This window comes from Homo sapiens, chromosome 8 (genome assembly GCF_000001405.40).
Source record: "Homo sapiens chromosome 8, GRCh38.p14 Primary Assembly".
Classification (NCBI taxonomy): domain Eukaryota; kingdom Metazoa; phylum Chordata; class Mammalia; order Primates; family Hominidae; genus Homo; species Homo sapiens.
In genome coordinates this window covers 50,363,978-50,379,060 of record NC_000008.11, presented here as the reverse complement: position 1 = coordinate 50,379,060, position 15,083 = coordinate 50,363,978, and the positions used below count along the sequence as shown (strand labels likewise).

Below are 15,083 nucleotides of genomic sequence, written 5' to 3'. Positions count from 1 at the left end.
CTACAGCCTGGGCTCCATGAACAGCTGCAGAATGCAGACAGGTTCCTGGGTGAAAGGGGGCAAGACCCTGGTAAGGCTCCACCTTCAGGGCAGGGAGGGCCTGAAGGCTGGGGGACAGGCTGTCAGTCCTGCTGACCAGAGTGGGAGCTTGTGGTGCCTTTTCTGGGCCTACCTATGGCTCCCATGGACTAATCACATGCCCTTTCTCCCCTCTGAGGCCCGTAAAAGCCCTAGGATCAGCCAAAGCTGAGCAGGTGCCAGGATGACCAGCTGCAGAGAGGAGCTACCCTCTCTGCTGAGAACTGAACACTTCTTGGGACAACCTGTCTGCAGAGAGGAGCTACCCTCTCTGCTGAGAGCTGAGCACTCATCAGGATGATTTGCCTAGCAGAGAGGAGCTACCTTCTCTGCTAAGAGCTGAACACTCATTGGGATATCCTGCCTGAAGAAAGGAGCTACCTGCTGTGGCTTTCCTCTGAGCTGTCCTATCTATCAATAAAGCTCCTCTTTGTCTTGCTCACCCTCCACTTGTCTGCACACCTCATTTTTCCTGGTCACAGCACAAGAACTCAGGATCTATCAACTGGCAGGGCTAAAACAGCTGTAACACCAGCAGGGCTGAAACATGCCCCTTGCTCATCATGTTGCAGGCGAAGAGAAGGAGGGAAGAGCTGTGGCCCTTCAGTATTCCCAGATCTGTGAACTCCCTGAGCCAGGGCTGTGACACCATCTTTGGGGCCCTGTGGTTCCTGGCATCTCCAAACTTCTGGGTGCCACTGTGTTCTGCAATGCCACCTGTGGGAGCTGCTTGAAGTGCACCTGGACAAGACACAGCCTCACAGAGAGCTGTTGCTCATGCCAGCACCTGGAGCCACCCTCCCCACTGCAGCAGTTGGTGTGTCTGATCGTGCAGTGGCCGAACCCCGTGCTCACTCACACACCCCTTGCCACTTCATGCATGACTTGCCCTGGCAGGCATGAGATCCAGGCTGGTAGCATGAGCCAAGCACAGCCTGCCAGGCCGAGTGGGCGGAACGAGCCCAGTGGACCTGAGCAAAACTCGGGCAAAGGTGCCACCAGCCACAGAGGTTTCCATCCGGAAAAGCGACACCTCAAGCATCCCATAGCATTATTATTGATATTAACTCAGTTTTGACCAGTTATACCTACTCTGCTTTTTCACAAAGTTGTCATGAAGTTTTGAAATTTTCTGTTCACCCCTGAGGAACATTCCAAAATCAATTTTTTTAAAAATCAAAATAACTGCAGTCTCATGGACATTTTGATATTTTATGTGGGCTTCAAATGTCTAAGTTGATTTTATAATTCTTAAATTAATATTAGGCAATTATGTCAATTCTTTAGGTGATTTTGCTTTATATGATAAAATTGCTTTTAACCAATCAATTTAGCTAGATTTTTGACATTTTTGTGTGTATATTTATTTTTAATTATGCAAATTTGATAATATGCTATAAAAAAAGTCTTTTCAACCATTGATTCTTCACTTAGAGGAGAAAAAATTCTGAAAATTCATGAATACATTTCCAGAAAAGTACTGCAAACACAGTGAAGAGTGAATTAGAAAAAAAACAAATGAGATGTTTTAAGAAACATAAAACGTTTTCCAAAAAACTGAAGAATACCCTATTTTGCAAAATTGTTCTCCTCCTTCAAATCTAAAAAATGAATAAAGAACTTGAAATTATGTACGAAGTTGTTAAACTTTCCCATGTGCACAGAAATAAGCCAACAAAGGATATATAAATGGGTATAAATATTCATGTCCCTACACATTCCATTTTTTTTCTTCCTTTCCTAAAGTTTAATTTATGAAGGTGCAGGCTTTTGAGTGCCTAGATTTTACCATTTCAAAAATTCAGCCAAACTCACTTACATCAAAATTTCACCTCAATTGTCCTTCTCACCCTCCTCAAATACACACCTCCCGAATTCCCCAAGAGCAGCCTCCTTTCTATGTGCTTATTATTTTATGAAGCTGACTCAGAAAGCCGACCCATTGTGAGCCTGGGCTCATGATGCCCAGGCAGGAGCCGGAGTCTGGGAACACTCAGGCCAGGTTGAATCCTTCACTGCTTCCTTTTGACCTTCCAGAAGTTTTAGCTTTCAGGCTTGAGGATAAAAGAAGTTCTAAATGCAGCATGTAAAGAGCACAAGACAACTGATCAAAGTGTGTAACTGACAAAAGAAGGTGAAGATGAGGAGAGCTTCAGGGCAAGGTAATATTGTTTTCAAACCCTTGGGGAAGCACTATTCTCTCTCTCTCTCTCTCTCTCTCTCTCTATATATATATATATATATATATATATAATTTATTAATATTAAATATATAATATTATATATTTAATCTACTTCTGAAATAGATTAAAATGAAGTCCTGGGATTCATGGAAGCAGGCAAAAAATATATACAATTTGATGAAGACTCTGAAAGTGGACGACACAGTATGGTAAGTGTCAGGCTGCAAGTCAGGAGGCTTCACCATTGGCTGGGTTACTTACTTGCTGAATCATTTGCTTAAACGATCTGAGTCTCAATACCCTTTTCCTATCCAATGATACATCACTGACTTTTCCTCAAGGATGAGGTAATAGGCAGATGTAATATTTTTTTTCACAAAATTATTATCATTATGCAAGTGAAAAATACTACTGCTGCAAAGAAAACCTCAGTAAGATGATATGAAAATATTTTACCCATTCTGGGACATGTAAACCTCAAATCTGAATAGCAAGAGTCTGGTTCAAGTTTTAGTAATTGCCAATTTTGTTATAAATATGAAGTGGAGGATGTGTATAATCTGTATAGTTACAGTTGTTGGAAATCAGAATATGTTGCCCCCAAATAGGAAGGTTTGTTGAGCTGAAGACAATTATGGTGCAGCAGACGCAGGAAAGCTCTTTTTTCTCCCTCTATTTGCCTAAAAGTAGGATGTAAATTTACAAAGACAAAAGATACCCTGCCTTCTCCTTCTACCAGTGAGAACAAAGTTTACCCACTGGAAATATCTTTAGACTTTCAGCCTGGAGATAACACCTTTACTAACCGGCCTTCACCATTTATTTGCCTTTCCCCTGAATTGCCATCTATAGAGATTCAAAGTCCTTTTCCTTTTTCTTGTCACTTCTCTAAAAATGTACTGTTCTTCGTAAAGTTGCTATATAACCTGGAGCTCAAAGTCTCCCCTTGCAGAGCTACTCCTTCCCTGGGTGCCTCCCATGCATATATAAAACATACATGTAATAAACTTCTGTTTGTTTTTCTCTTGTTAATCTGTCTTTTGTTATGGGGGTCAATTCCAACCAAGGACCTATAGGGTTACTATTTTTCCCCACATAGTAATATAAAATTCCAAATGTTCATCGTATTATCAGAGGATTTTGTGACTTATCTTATCCTGACTCCTTTTACATGGGAATAATATCCCCAAACAAGCACAGGCTAGGATTGTAAAGTTGACACTACATGTTTTTTAAGTGATTCAGCCTAAACATTTCCCTCTGCCTGGAGTATCTACTCTCACCTCATTCACACTCATGCTCACAATTGCTCAGCACCCCTCCCACAGCTGCCATGCCCTTGATTCTTTACCTTAGCCCTTCTGAATCACTGTCTCTTCTGCTTGGCTCCTCTGTAAGTCGTATCTGTTCCATGTACAAACTCTTGGCTCTCTGTAGAGTTCTGGAGCTTGTCCCCCAGGTCCTCCTGTGCATGTCCCATTGCCCCAGCACACCAGCCAGATCCACCAGAATCTAATGTGCCCAACCATGTGCCTGAAGGCCATCTGATGACATTAGAGTATAGATTCAAGGCTCTATGTCCACAAAAGTCAGTAATGCAAACATCTCATTTTATAAGGAGCATGCATAGAGTTTCAGAAATGATGTTGTTTAAAAACACACTATTTTGCCCTGCATGTTCAAGAATCTTCTACAGGAGAGATCCCCAACAGCAAACCAAGGACCAAATCTAGCCTGCAGACACATGTTGTTTAAATGTTACTCTGGCAGACATTCACTCTGCAATTAATGGATAGCAAGTTCTTCCTTATCCAGGACACATTACACCTTCACTTTTTAATTTTACTTCCCAGTGCCTGAGGTAGTGAGTTTGTGACTTTCTTTCTTCACGATGAAAACATTTTTATTTATGTGAAAACAAGTTTCCAACTTAAAACAGTTTTCCAACTTCCAATTTGATCTAAAAAAAAGGATCAAATTGCCTAGGGAATTTTATTTATTTATTTAGCTATGAGATGCCTTGTTTCATCTAAATGCTGTGTAGAAGCCAAATATGAAAAACACATAAATGCTGAGCAGTTCACATTGATTTGGGCATGAAAAAAGGCTGAGGTTTCTTAAGTTCACTTTATTTTCCAGTGAAAATTAGGCCACTCTTCTTGAAGCCTGGAGCTCTGCGGAGCAAAGTTTAAAGACCACCAAGCTAACTAATTACTACAGTCCCAATTGTCCCTATGAACTGGGTACCTGGTCTGGGAAGAGGCTGAAAACAGAAAGGACAGAAAATGAAGATCTTTTGTGCGCCTTACAACAGTTGAGCTGCCCATATAAAAATGTACCATGCATTACAACCTGCAAGGGAGATTAGTCTCTGGACCTCACAAAATAGTAACAGGAATGATATTGACTAAATTCGAAAGTGCCTATATAGTTTTATTAAACAGAATTTACTTAGTTATTATGCTCTTTCTTCCAGGACTCCAAAAATAGCAACCTTGATATTTTAACTAATTGGATGTTTACATATTAAGGAAACTACAATTGATCACACTATTAGCAAGGCTAAAAGGGTCAATTCACCAGGAAGATTTGCCTAAAGGGAATTTAAGATTTTAACAGCAAACAGAGAGGTCACAAACACCTAAAAGACAGTGAAAATTGTGGCAGAATGCCATTGGCTATGTGTTTTGTTCAGGGTCCTTCACCATCAAAATAGGTCTTCTAACAAGCTAAGCATTTCAACACTAATACATAGCTTCAACATATGAATTTTGGGGAAGATAAATTTAAATCCATAAAAAAAAATTGTGTAGGCTACATCAGAGATCCCAGGACTAGAATCTGTAAGAGGAGTGAGATGATTCCTGTAATGGCCCAGGAACGAGGATTCACAGTGGAGTAAAGGTGTTGGTGGGAGCCTTGGACAAAAGGGCCTGGTGATCAAACAATGCTAAGGCATGCGAACAGGTGTGGAGTCAGCCTTAACATAGCCCAGGTGACTTCACAGTTATTGTCACCATGAACAGATATGGAATTAAGAACATCTCACTTTAGAGAAAAAATAATATTTAGCTGCAAGTATATTGATATCTTCAAATATATCTTCCAATATACATTTAACCATAATGAAAAGTATAAGCTGTCATGTGAGATTAAACTCTGCACTTCTTAAATGAGTTTCCCATCTACTGTTTCCCTGTCATCAGAACAATCCTGAAAAATAGTTATCTATTGTGAGGTTGAGGAAACTGAGGCACATATTGTACATTTTTTACTACTTAATAAACTTTTACAAAGGTATGTATATCCATTTAATCACATGGTAACATTATACAATCTTACACATCACCAAGAATTAATTTAGAATTCTCTTGTCACACTTGAAAAATTAATATGGAGAGCTGTTTGAAAAAATCCTGATCACTAGACTTAACAAGTGAGATTTACTCAACAATTTAAACAGTGACCTACCATATTTGAGCTCATAACATTAAATTAACTTCTGTATTTCGTGAAAACATATTTGCATTCCTTAAATAAGAGGATCTGGGAGTTTAATAATCACTAACCAAAAAGAATTACAATTTGTTTATCTTTATGAAGCAAATAAACAAAAATTAAAACTTTACAAAACAGAATTTACCAAGTGCTACATTGGAATGATTTGTAATTAACACATGGAAAAATTTTTACTTACATTGGTGATTTTTGCCTCCCTCTGTTCTCTGTAGATAATTTCTTTAGTCAGTGGGTAAAATGCAGTTATATACATGCAGAATAGCTAAATGTTTAAATATAGTTATACTGCTTGGACAGATGGAGAGACACAGAAAATATTTTTCAGTATAACACAGATAACTTCTAAAGCAGGTGTTTTGTTTACCAACTGTCTCTTGGAAACTCTTCAGTTCAAAATGGTGAGGTTATTTTTTGTATACGAAATCCAGTCTACTTCCTAAAATTCAACCCGGCATGCAGTTTCTTGGGATATACTATCTGACTCCACAGAGACAAACAACTATTCAGACTGCACTGCGTACTGAGTTTCATTATTGAAATCCTTACACTGGATTTTAATGATTTTTTCTTCCTATTTGTCATCCCATCCTGTTACATAATGTCAGAGCTGTATCTTTCATTTCTTGGAATCCCCAGAGCTTCTCAATGAGCTTGACACACAGCAGACATTTAATAAAATTATATAAAGTTAAATTATGACCATCTCTTGAGTATGTGACTTATACATAATAGGAAGTAATAATTAAAATGCATATTTGCCCATTTTAAATAAAGAAAGATGCAAAGTATCAGGAAGATGGCAGAATAGGAAATACCAGAACTTCTTCTACCACAGAGACACTAGCGTAACAATATATGGTATGTACATGGGGACAAGAAACAGGAAGAGATGTAAAGGAGTAGGTTTTGTAAGTAATTGAAGTTAAGTTGTTATCAATTTAAAATATATTATATAAGATATTTTATGTTAGATCCATGGTAACCCGAAAAAAAATAACTATAGAAGATGCATAAAATAAAATGGCAAAGGAATCAAAGCATGCCACCACACACACACACACACAGAGAAAGATCAATGAAACACAAATGAAAGCAGCTAGAGAGGAAAAGTTGACATGGGATAAGATAACTATAAATGAAAAATAAAAAAGGATGAAAAATGAAAAGAGTTGAGAAATAAAAAGTAATGAAATAACTATAAGACACACAAAAACAATAACGAAATGGCAATGGTAAGTTCTTTCCTATTAGTAATTACTGTAAATGTAAGTGGATTAAACTCCCTAATCAAAAGACAGAGTGGCTGAATGGATTAAAAAACAAGATCCAACTACATGCCGTCTACAGGAGATTTATTTTTTGATATAAGCCTGACAGTAAAAAAATAGGAAAAGATACTCTAGACAAATGGTAGCCAAAGGGAGCAGGGGTAGCTATACTTACACAAAATTGATTTTAAGTTAAAAATGGTCAGAAGACACGAAGTAGGACATGATGTAACGATAAAAGGGTCAATTCACCAGGAAGATGTGATGTAATAATTATAAATATATAGGCAGCTAACATTAGAGCACTCAAATATATGAATAAAACCTTGACAGAATTTATGTTAGAAATAGATATTAACACAATAATAGTAAAAGACCTAAAAAATTGCCTTTTTAGTAGTGGTAGGTCAGTGAGACAGAGAATCAATAAGAAAACAAAGGGGCTGAACAACACTCTACACCAATGTGACTTAATAAACATATACTGAACACTTCACCCAACAACATCAGAATCATCTGCACACCAGGTTAGAGACTTCTCTTTCCCTGCCAACTGATCACAGTGAACTTGGCAGGAGCCATATGAATATGCTGGGAGGGAGAAGCCATGGTAGCTGGAATGGGGTCCATGGGAATTTGGGCCACTAGTTCATGTGACTTATTTTTGCCTTCAGGGCTTGCTGAGGCCTGATGACTTATTTATTGGATGATGGAGTACTGCTGTGCACACCCGACTTTATGGCTTAGTGAGTCAGATAACATCCAGTTAATGATGGGCAGCTCACGCCACATAATAACGTGGTGACCAATGGTTAAGCATTCAGTCTTTTCTGAGATCCAGTAGTAGGCCAATAGCTGATTCTCAAAAGAAAATAGTTATCTTGAGTGAATGGCTGGGCTTTTCTCCAAAATCATAAAGACCCATGCTGTGGTTCACCTATAGAAGCCTCCAAAGGCCAGTCTAGCATTTCTAACTTGGTCACATTAGGCCACATTTAAGTTCATGTTTCAATTATCCTATCAAAAAATTATTATCCTATTAAACAAATTATTAAAATCCTCCCTAATAGAATCTCAGCTTAGGGAGATCATAGCAATAAATTCGGCCTGATCCAACTTTTATTTTCCTTTCATTCTTAATCCATACTCTTAGTATCCATTCACATATATATTCCTCGGAATTCTGCTTGTATAAATTAGAAAATTCAAGTGCTTGTGGAGTGTAGTGCACCTCCTCATGGGTCATACTTTGTACTTCACCTTCAGGGGACTTCTGGGACTTGGGTCTAGTTATAGGTCTGGAAGAAAGGAGCGGAGGTGGGGATGGCTCTGGAGAGAAATGGCATTACCTTGCCTAGTAACTGCCTTTGGGGAGGCCATTATAGGTTTTTCAGGCAATGTAAGGTTAAGTCCTTCAGACAGGGGTGAAAGGGCGAGGAGACTACTATCATTGCAGGTGGGGAGGCTGCTCCCACTGAAGCCCTGAAAATGGAGCGCTGCTCCTACTCTCCACTGAAAATGGAGAAGCCTCCTCTACTGGCAAAAATGAGTCATTCCAATTTACTGGCTCATTGTGCCCATACTCATCAGGGTCTTCCCACAGGGTCGTTCCCATTCTGACTTTCAAGATCCCATTCCTTACCAATCAATGCCCTCACTGTAGCAGATAGTTCAACAGGCTGGGAGTTCAAGTTGCATTTTGATTCAGCCAGTCGCAGAGTGGTATTCTGCACCTGATTTTTAACAATCTCAGCCTTATGGCTACAGGAAAAAAGAGCTCCTTCATAGCACGCCCAGAATCTTTCATGTCATTTATGTAGCCCTTGAGCTTGGAATTTGAATTCCTGAACTCATCCTTTTATTTTCTCACTTTGTGCAGTGAGTTAGGAGCTGCCAGCCAATCTCATTATATTCATTAGTTTGCCAAAAATGCTCAAATGTATATACATAGTACTCAGATCCTTGCTTCTTATAAATGGTTGATTAGGAGTGTCCAATGGTGATATTCTGCATATCTCTATGGCCAGATCACACCATGGAATATAGACACCATGGAATATTAGAAATAGAGTCATTGGCATCTTTAAACCCAATCAGATTAAAGAGCCAATTCCAGATACTTCAGAACCAACTCAGAAAATTCATTCTTAAAAGTCTCTTTCCCTAGAATGACACTTGGCATCGAGTCAGTTTGGGCTGCCATAATAAATACCATAAACTGGGTGAAGAAAACAACAAAAATGTATCACTCACAGTTCTGGAGGCTGGAAGTCCAAGATCAAGTTCCAGTGGGCTTTGGTTTCTGGTGTGGTCTCTCTTCCTGGCTTGCAGACAGCAACCTTCTGGCTGTGTCCTCACTTGGTAGATAATGAGCTAGCTCTGGTTTCTGTTTCTTTTCTTTTTTTTTTTTCTTTTTGGGACGGAGTTTTGCTCTTGTTGCCCAGGCTGGGGTGCAATGATGCAATCTTAGCTCACTGCAACCTCTGCCTCCTGGGTTCAAGCGATTTTCCTGCCTCAGCCTCCCAAGTAGCTGGGATTACAGGCATGCACTACCACCCCTGGCTAATTTTGTATTTTCAGTAGAGATGGGGTTTCCCCATGTTGGTCAGGCTCGTCTCGAACTCTCAACCTCATGTGATCCACCTGCCTTGGCCTCCCAAGTTGCTGGGATTACAGGCGTTAGCCACCGTGCCCAGCCTCTTTTTCTTTTCTTAAAGGACACCAATATTATGAAATGAAGATGCTATTCTTATGGCATCATTTCACTTTGATACCTCCCAAAGTCCCTACCATGAAATACAGTCACATTAGGGGTTAGGGCTTCAATATATGCATTTTGGAAGGACATCACAGTTCAGCTCATAGAATTCTTCCCTTGGTTCCCCCAAATCCATGTTCTTATCACATGCAAAATACATTCATCCCATTCCAGTAGCCCCCAAATTCTTAACTTATTCCAGCATTAACTCTAAAGGTTAAAGGCCAAAGTCTCATACTAAAATCATCTAACTAAGATATGAATGAGACTTGAGGTACAATTCATCATGAGCCAAAATTCCCCTCCAGCGCTGAGCCTGTGAAACGGACAAGTTATGTGTCTCCAAAATACAATAATGGGAGAGGCATAGGATAGATATTTTCTTTTCAAAATGGAAAAATCTAAATTAAAAAAGGAAGTGATGATTCCCATGAAAGCAGAAAACCTAGCAAGGGCAATTTCATTAAATCTGAAGTCTGAAGAAGAACCTCTTTGTTTCCATATCCTGTTAAGGAGGGTGTAGGACAACCCCAACCATTTGGTTAACAGCTCTATGGATTCTATAGGACCAGACGGTCCTATAGAATCCAAGAAGTCTGACAGCTTTTCCTTAATCTGTCCTGCTCCCCCTATCCTCTTCAGTTCAAACGGGCCGGATCTTTGATGGTGTAATCCATTTGCTGTTCCTGGCTTCTGCTGATATGGCTGATTAAGCTGATGGGTCACCCCCATTATCTCTTTAGCAAAGGGTGATTCAGTTGCACTCTTAGTGTTGTCTCCAGAACAGACTTCTCCAGTTTTTGCATTATAGATAAGCTGAGAAATTTCTAAATCTCCTTGTCCTGGGTCTTTTTGCTTAACAAATCCTTCTTTAATCCATATTTTTCCTATTGTATTGCCTTAAGGAGGACCCAAGCCATACTTTCAACACTTTGCTTAAAAATTGTATCTGGTAAATAGCCAAGTGTATCACTTATAAGTGCTATTTTTCTCAAAACATTGGAACAAAATGCAACCAAGATATTTGCCACTATATAACAAGAACCATTTTTCCTCCAGCTTACAGTGGCCTGTTCTCATTTCCATCTGAGACCTTCTCAGAATATTTAACGTCTATATTTCCACAAACATTCTATTTTGATTATTCATGATTATTTATTTTCTAAGAAGAGTGAAGCCCTCTCTACAGCTCTCCTCTTTTCCTCCCGATCCCTTACCAGAATTGCCTTTAATGTCCACGTTTCTACCAATAGTCCCTTCGTAGAAATTCGGGCTTTTTCTAGTCTGTACCTCAAAACTCAGCCAACCTCTACCCTATTGCCCAGTTCCCAAGCCAAGGCCAAGCCAGGTCCACATTTTTAGGTATTAGTTATAGCAGCAGTCCACTTCCTGGTACCAAAATCAGTGCAGTGTTGCTCAGGAGTTTCCAGAGAAGCAAAACCAGTAGGGTGCATGTGTGCGTGTGTGTGTGTGTGTATACAATACAATGGTTGACCAAGTATATTTGAGCACCCAGTGGCACATTCAAGTGGACACAAAAAATTAACAATCACAGGTAATTACTAGATATTATATCCTGATACAGTTTCATGATTGAATGAGTTTATACTTTAGCAAAATGTAACAAATAAGAATTGGAAATGATTCTACATTAGTATAATCAGTTGTTAAAGTAAGTACATTTTGCTGTATTTTCAACTGAGTCATTATCAAAAATAGTAATATTCTGAAAGACTATGTAAGTAAACACATATTTCTCTCACTAACATAAAAAATAAAAAATAATAAATTTTATATGCAGGGTTAAAATCTAATGTATATATTTTGTTAGTGGCTGCAATTCAGCATTCTAACATAGAATTAAATAAAATTAATCTGGTGTTAGCTAATTTTACTGTGGGAATTTAATGAATTATATGACTATTTTCTTTCTAATATTGTGAACTAGGAAATGTCATAGACTTTGGTAGACTTCTTGGTGGTCAAGAGACTAAAATCAAAGTTTCAAATTTCTAACATTTAAAGAATACATGTAAGAAATGAACTATGAATTTTAAATACCAAGCTGATCTACTTGGTAAAGGAAACAACACTCTATTATATAAATGAATGTTTTCCAAATATTCTCTTAGAATCACCTATGCTCACATCAGAACAATTATCATCAACTCTGGGGTGGGTTCTAGGACTCCATGCTATTGCTGTTGAGATCTCTTTGATGGTGTTAGTCTTACCAATGATGCAGACAAAACAGATGATTCCTTAAATCTGTATTTTACTACTCCTTACTATTTGCGTCCTTATAGTATACTATATTATATATTATATAGTATAGACCTATACTATATTATATAGTATTATTTAAGAACCAATATGGAAGATAAAATACTATAATATATATAATATAGGCCTATACTATATAATGGTATATATATTATATATAATATATTTTATTATAGTATTATATCTTCCATATTGGTTCTTAAATAATACTATATTATATATAAAATATATGTATTCACATATATATGCAAATAGTAAGTATATTATATATTATATAAAATATATATAAAATAATATAGGCCTATATTATTACAAAATAATATATATATAAAATCATATAGACATATATTATTATTTAAAAACCAGTACGGAAGAATCAATTACATAGTGCTTATTTTCAATGTAGATCCCTATTATACATTCCCAAACCTCAATCTGATTCAGTAAATTTAGGGAAAAACTCAGGATTATGAATTTTTCATGAACATGGTTATGGTTGAAAGGGGCTTGTTATGAATTTCTGATTAAGATGGTCATGGACATGGTTATGATTTCTGATAAAGATAGTCAAGGACTACACTTTGAAAAATACCAATTTAAACGTAACTGCACAGCGTAGTAAAAAGGCTATTGGGTAAAGATGCAGTTCTGTGCTGACTCACTCTGTGATCTTGGGCGCAACCATGTAGTAGTTCCTGATACTGATTGATTTAGTCATCTGCAAGCATTGAGCTATGTTCCTTTCTGGCTCTAACATGCAGAGGTCCTACAAGCATGTCTTGGCAATGTTATAGTTGTGCGTTGACTTTATTACACAGATCCCAATGTTTCATGCTTTGGATGGACTCTAGTTCTCATTCTCTTGTTCACTGGATATTTTCAATATAGCATGATAAAAGTTCTATATTCCTCAAATACTCAGGTGATAAATTGTTTGTTAGAAAATAATAGGCATGCCAATTAATTTGGGTGTTTAAAATACAGTCAACTGGTTATTTTAGAAAAGTAGGAAATGGTTAGAAAATTGCTTTTATGTCAGCTGCCCAGAATCCAATCTAGATGCAGTTTTGCAACATTTTGCAAAATAAAGCTTTCAAAATAATTTATGTTAGCAATTACAGACTAATAAGCTTTTAAAATATTTTATGCATTTTAAAATGAATAAGCAAGAACAATTGTCTTTACCACTCGTAATTTGTGGTTATAAGAGTTCTTAATCAACACTTATAATTAAGAAGATACCATAAAATAATCAGTCTATTGTAATAAGAACACAATAAATTTTAAAGGAAATTGGCCAAAGAACTGAATTTCAATTTGCTGTATCCATTCTCCTAAGCTCATAGTCTAGATATAATTAAAACAAAAACATTTATACATTTATTTCTGCAAGATTTAAAAAAAATCTTTGATTTTATACAATTCTTTCCTAAATACTTTAGATCAGATATATCAGAAATTTTCTTATTATTTGACTAGCAAATTTCAAAGGGAAAGTTTATAAATACATATAGTCAATGTATATATATTCAAATTCAAATAAACATATTTGTATATTACGTGGAGTTAAAAGCTATATTAATAAATGACAAACATAAAAGTAAATTCATCTAACCATGTTTTCACTCTGCATTTGGTTTGCTTTTGCCTTAGAGGTCTATTTCAGTAATTATCTCACCATGTCTCTTTGTACACAAGCTACAATGACACCATCAAAAATTAAAGACATTGAAGAGAAAAATCAATGAATACAACTTCTAGAAATCTAGTTTTAGATGTCTTTTTGATCTCTTGTTTTTCCACTCGAATTTTTCTCTGACTACTCATATAGAAGCAATTAAACTTATGGAAATTAATTGACTCTCACATGAACTCTAAAATTTGAGAAATCAAGTAGATTTGTAGTATATGTAAGGTACTCAGCACAAGGACAAAATAACTGCTTAATAAATAGAAATTATGAGAATGGATAGTGGAAGCATTTGTAATAGTAGCAGTAGTAAAAAGAACATTTGTTATGGTTTTGCAAAAAGCCTTAAATGATTTTTTCTGTTTGAAAAAATAAAATTATATTATTTTAAACTCAGCTTTTTCCAAAACACATAATTACTATTAATTTTTGTGATTTGTAAGAAGTCAAAAACTGATTTAAATGATTACTGCAATAAAAAAGAACAAGAAATAGTTTGCTGACCTAAAAATGCTGAGTAAAATATAATTGAATATAATGTATTTTTAAATATTTTTTATGAAAATTCAAGGCCTATAGGAAAGCAGATGGAGGTATTGATCTTGAATATGAATGAATTATTCATATTAACCCTTTTTACAGCCAATATAATAATGAGAGGTGCTGTAATTAATGCAATGGTGTTATGTCTCAGAGAAAATGCTATGATATAAGCATTTTAAGATATACGATATAGAATCCTAAAGAAAAACACATAAACTAAAGTTGTTCTCACCCATTTCTCTATTTATTCCCAGAATATACATAAACCGTCATGAAAGAAAAAGAAAGAAAAAGAGCCCATGACAGTAAGTGTGTGAAATTACGATGTCATAGAAATCCGTATTTGGTCTTAGTCCCAGGTTCCTGGGTAGACTGCCTAAAACCCTTGTAATTTGCTAAGTGATAAGAGTGATAAAGGTGAAAGGAGTGTCTTTCATCATTCATGACAAGTGCCTTTCAACCACACCTGAGTTTATGTTATTGCAGTGGCTTTCAGAAAACCTCTAAGCAGCGGGTGTGGCTTGCCAGGGGAACTATGGATTAAGGGACTGGAACTTTCAACCCCAATTCCCCAACCTCTAGGAAGGCAAGAGGGACTGGAGACTGAATTAATCACCAATGGCCGATGATATGATCTATTGTCTATGTAATGGAACTTCCCTAAAAATCCCTAATCAAAGGGATTCTGAGAGCTTCCAGGTTGGTGTCATAGGGAGGGCCTCAGGGATTGGTGCATATGGGCAGGGCATGAAGCTCCAAAC

At 36.9% G+C, this 15,083-nt stretch overlaps 1 protein-coding gene and 1 long non-coding RNA gene across 22 annotated transcripts in view; one reads left to right on the top strand and one right to left on the bottom strand.

Annotated features, from left to right (window-relative positions):
• SNTG1 (syntrophin gamma 1) overlaps positions 1–15,083 on the bottom strand; it is an 886,897-nt gene that overhangs the window by 417,632 nt on the left and 454,182 nt on the right. The gene's annotated exons all lie outside the window — the stretch shown is intronic.
• On the top strand, positions 2,084–14,615 carry LOC105375828 (uncharacterized). Its single transcript, XR_928862.3, has 3 exons — positions 2,084–2,240; positions 2,385–2,470; positions 14,577–14,615. It is a non-coding gene; the product is annotated as an uncharacterized LOC105375828 (long non-coding RNA).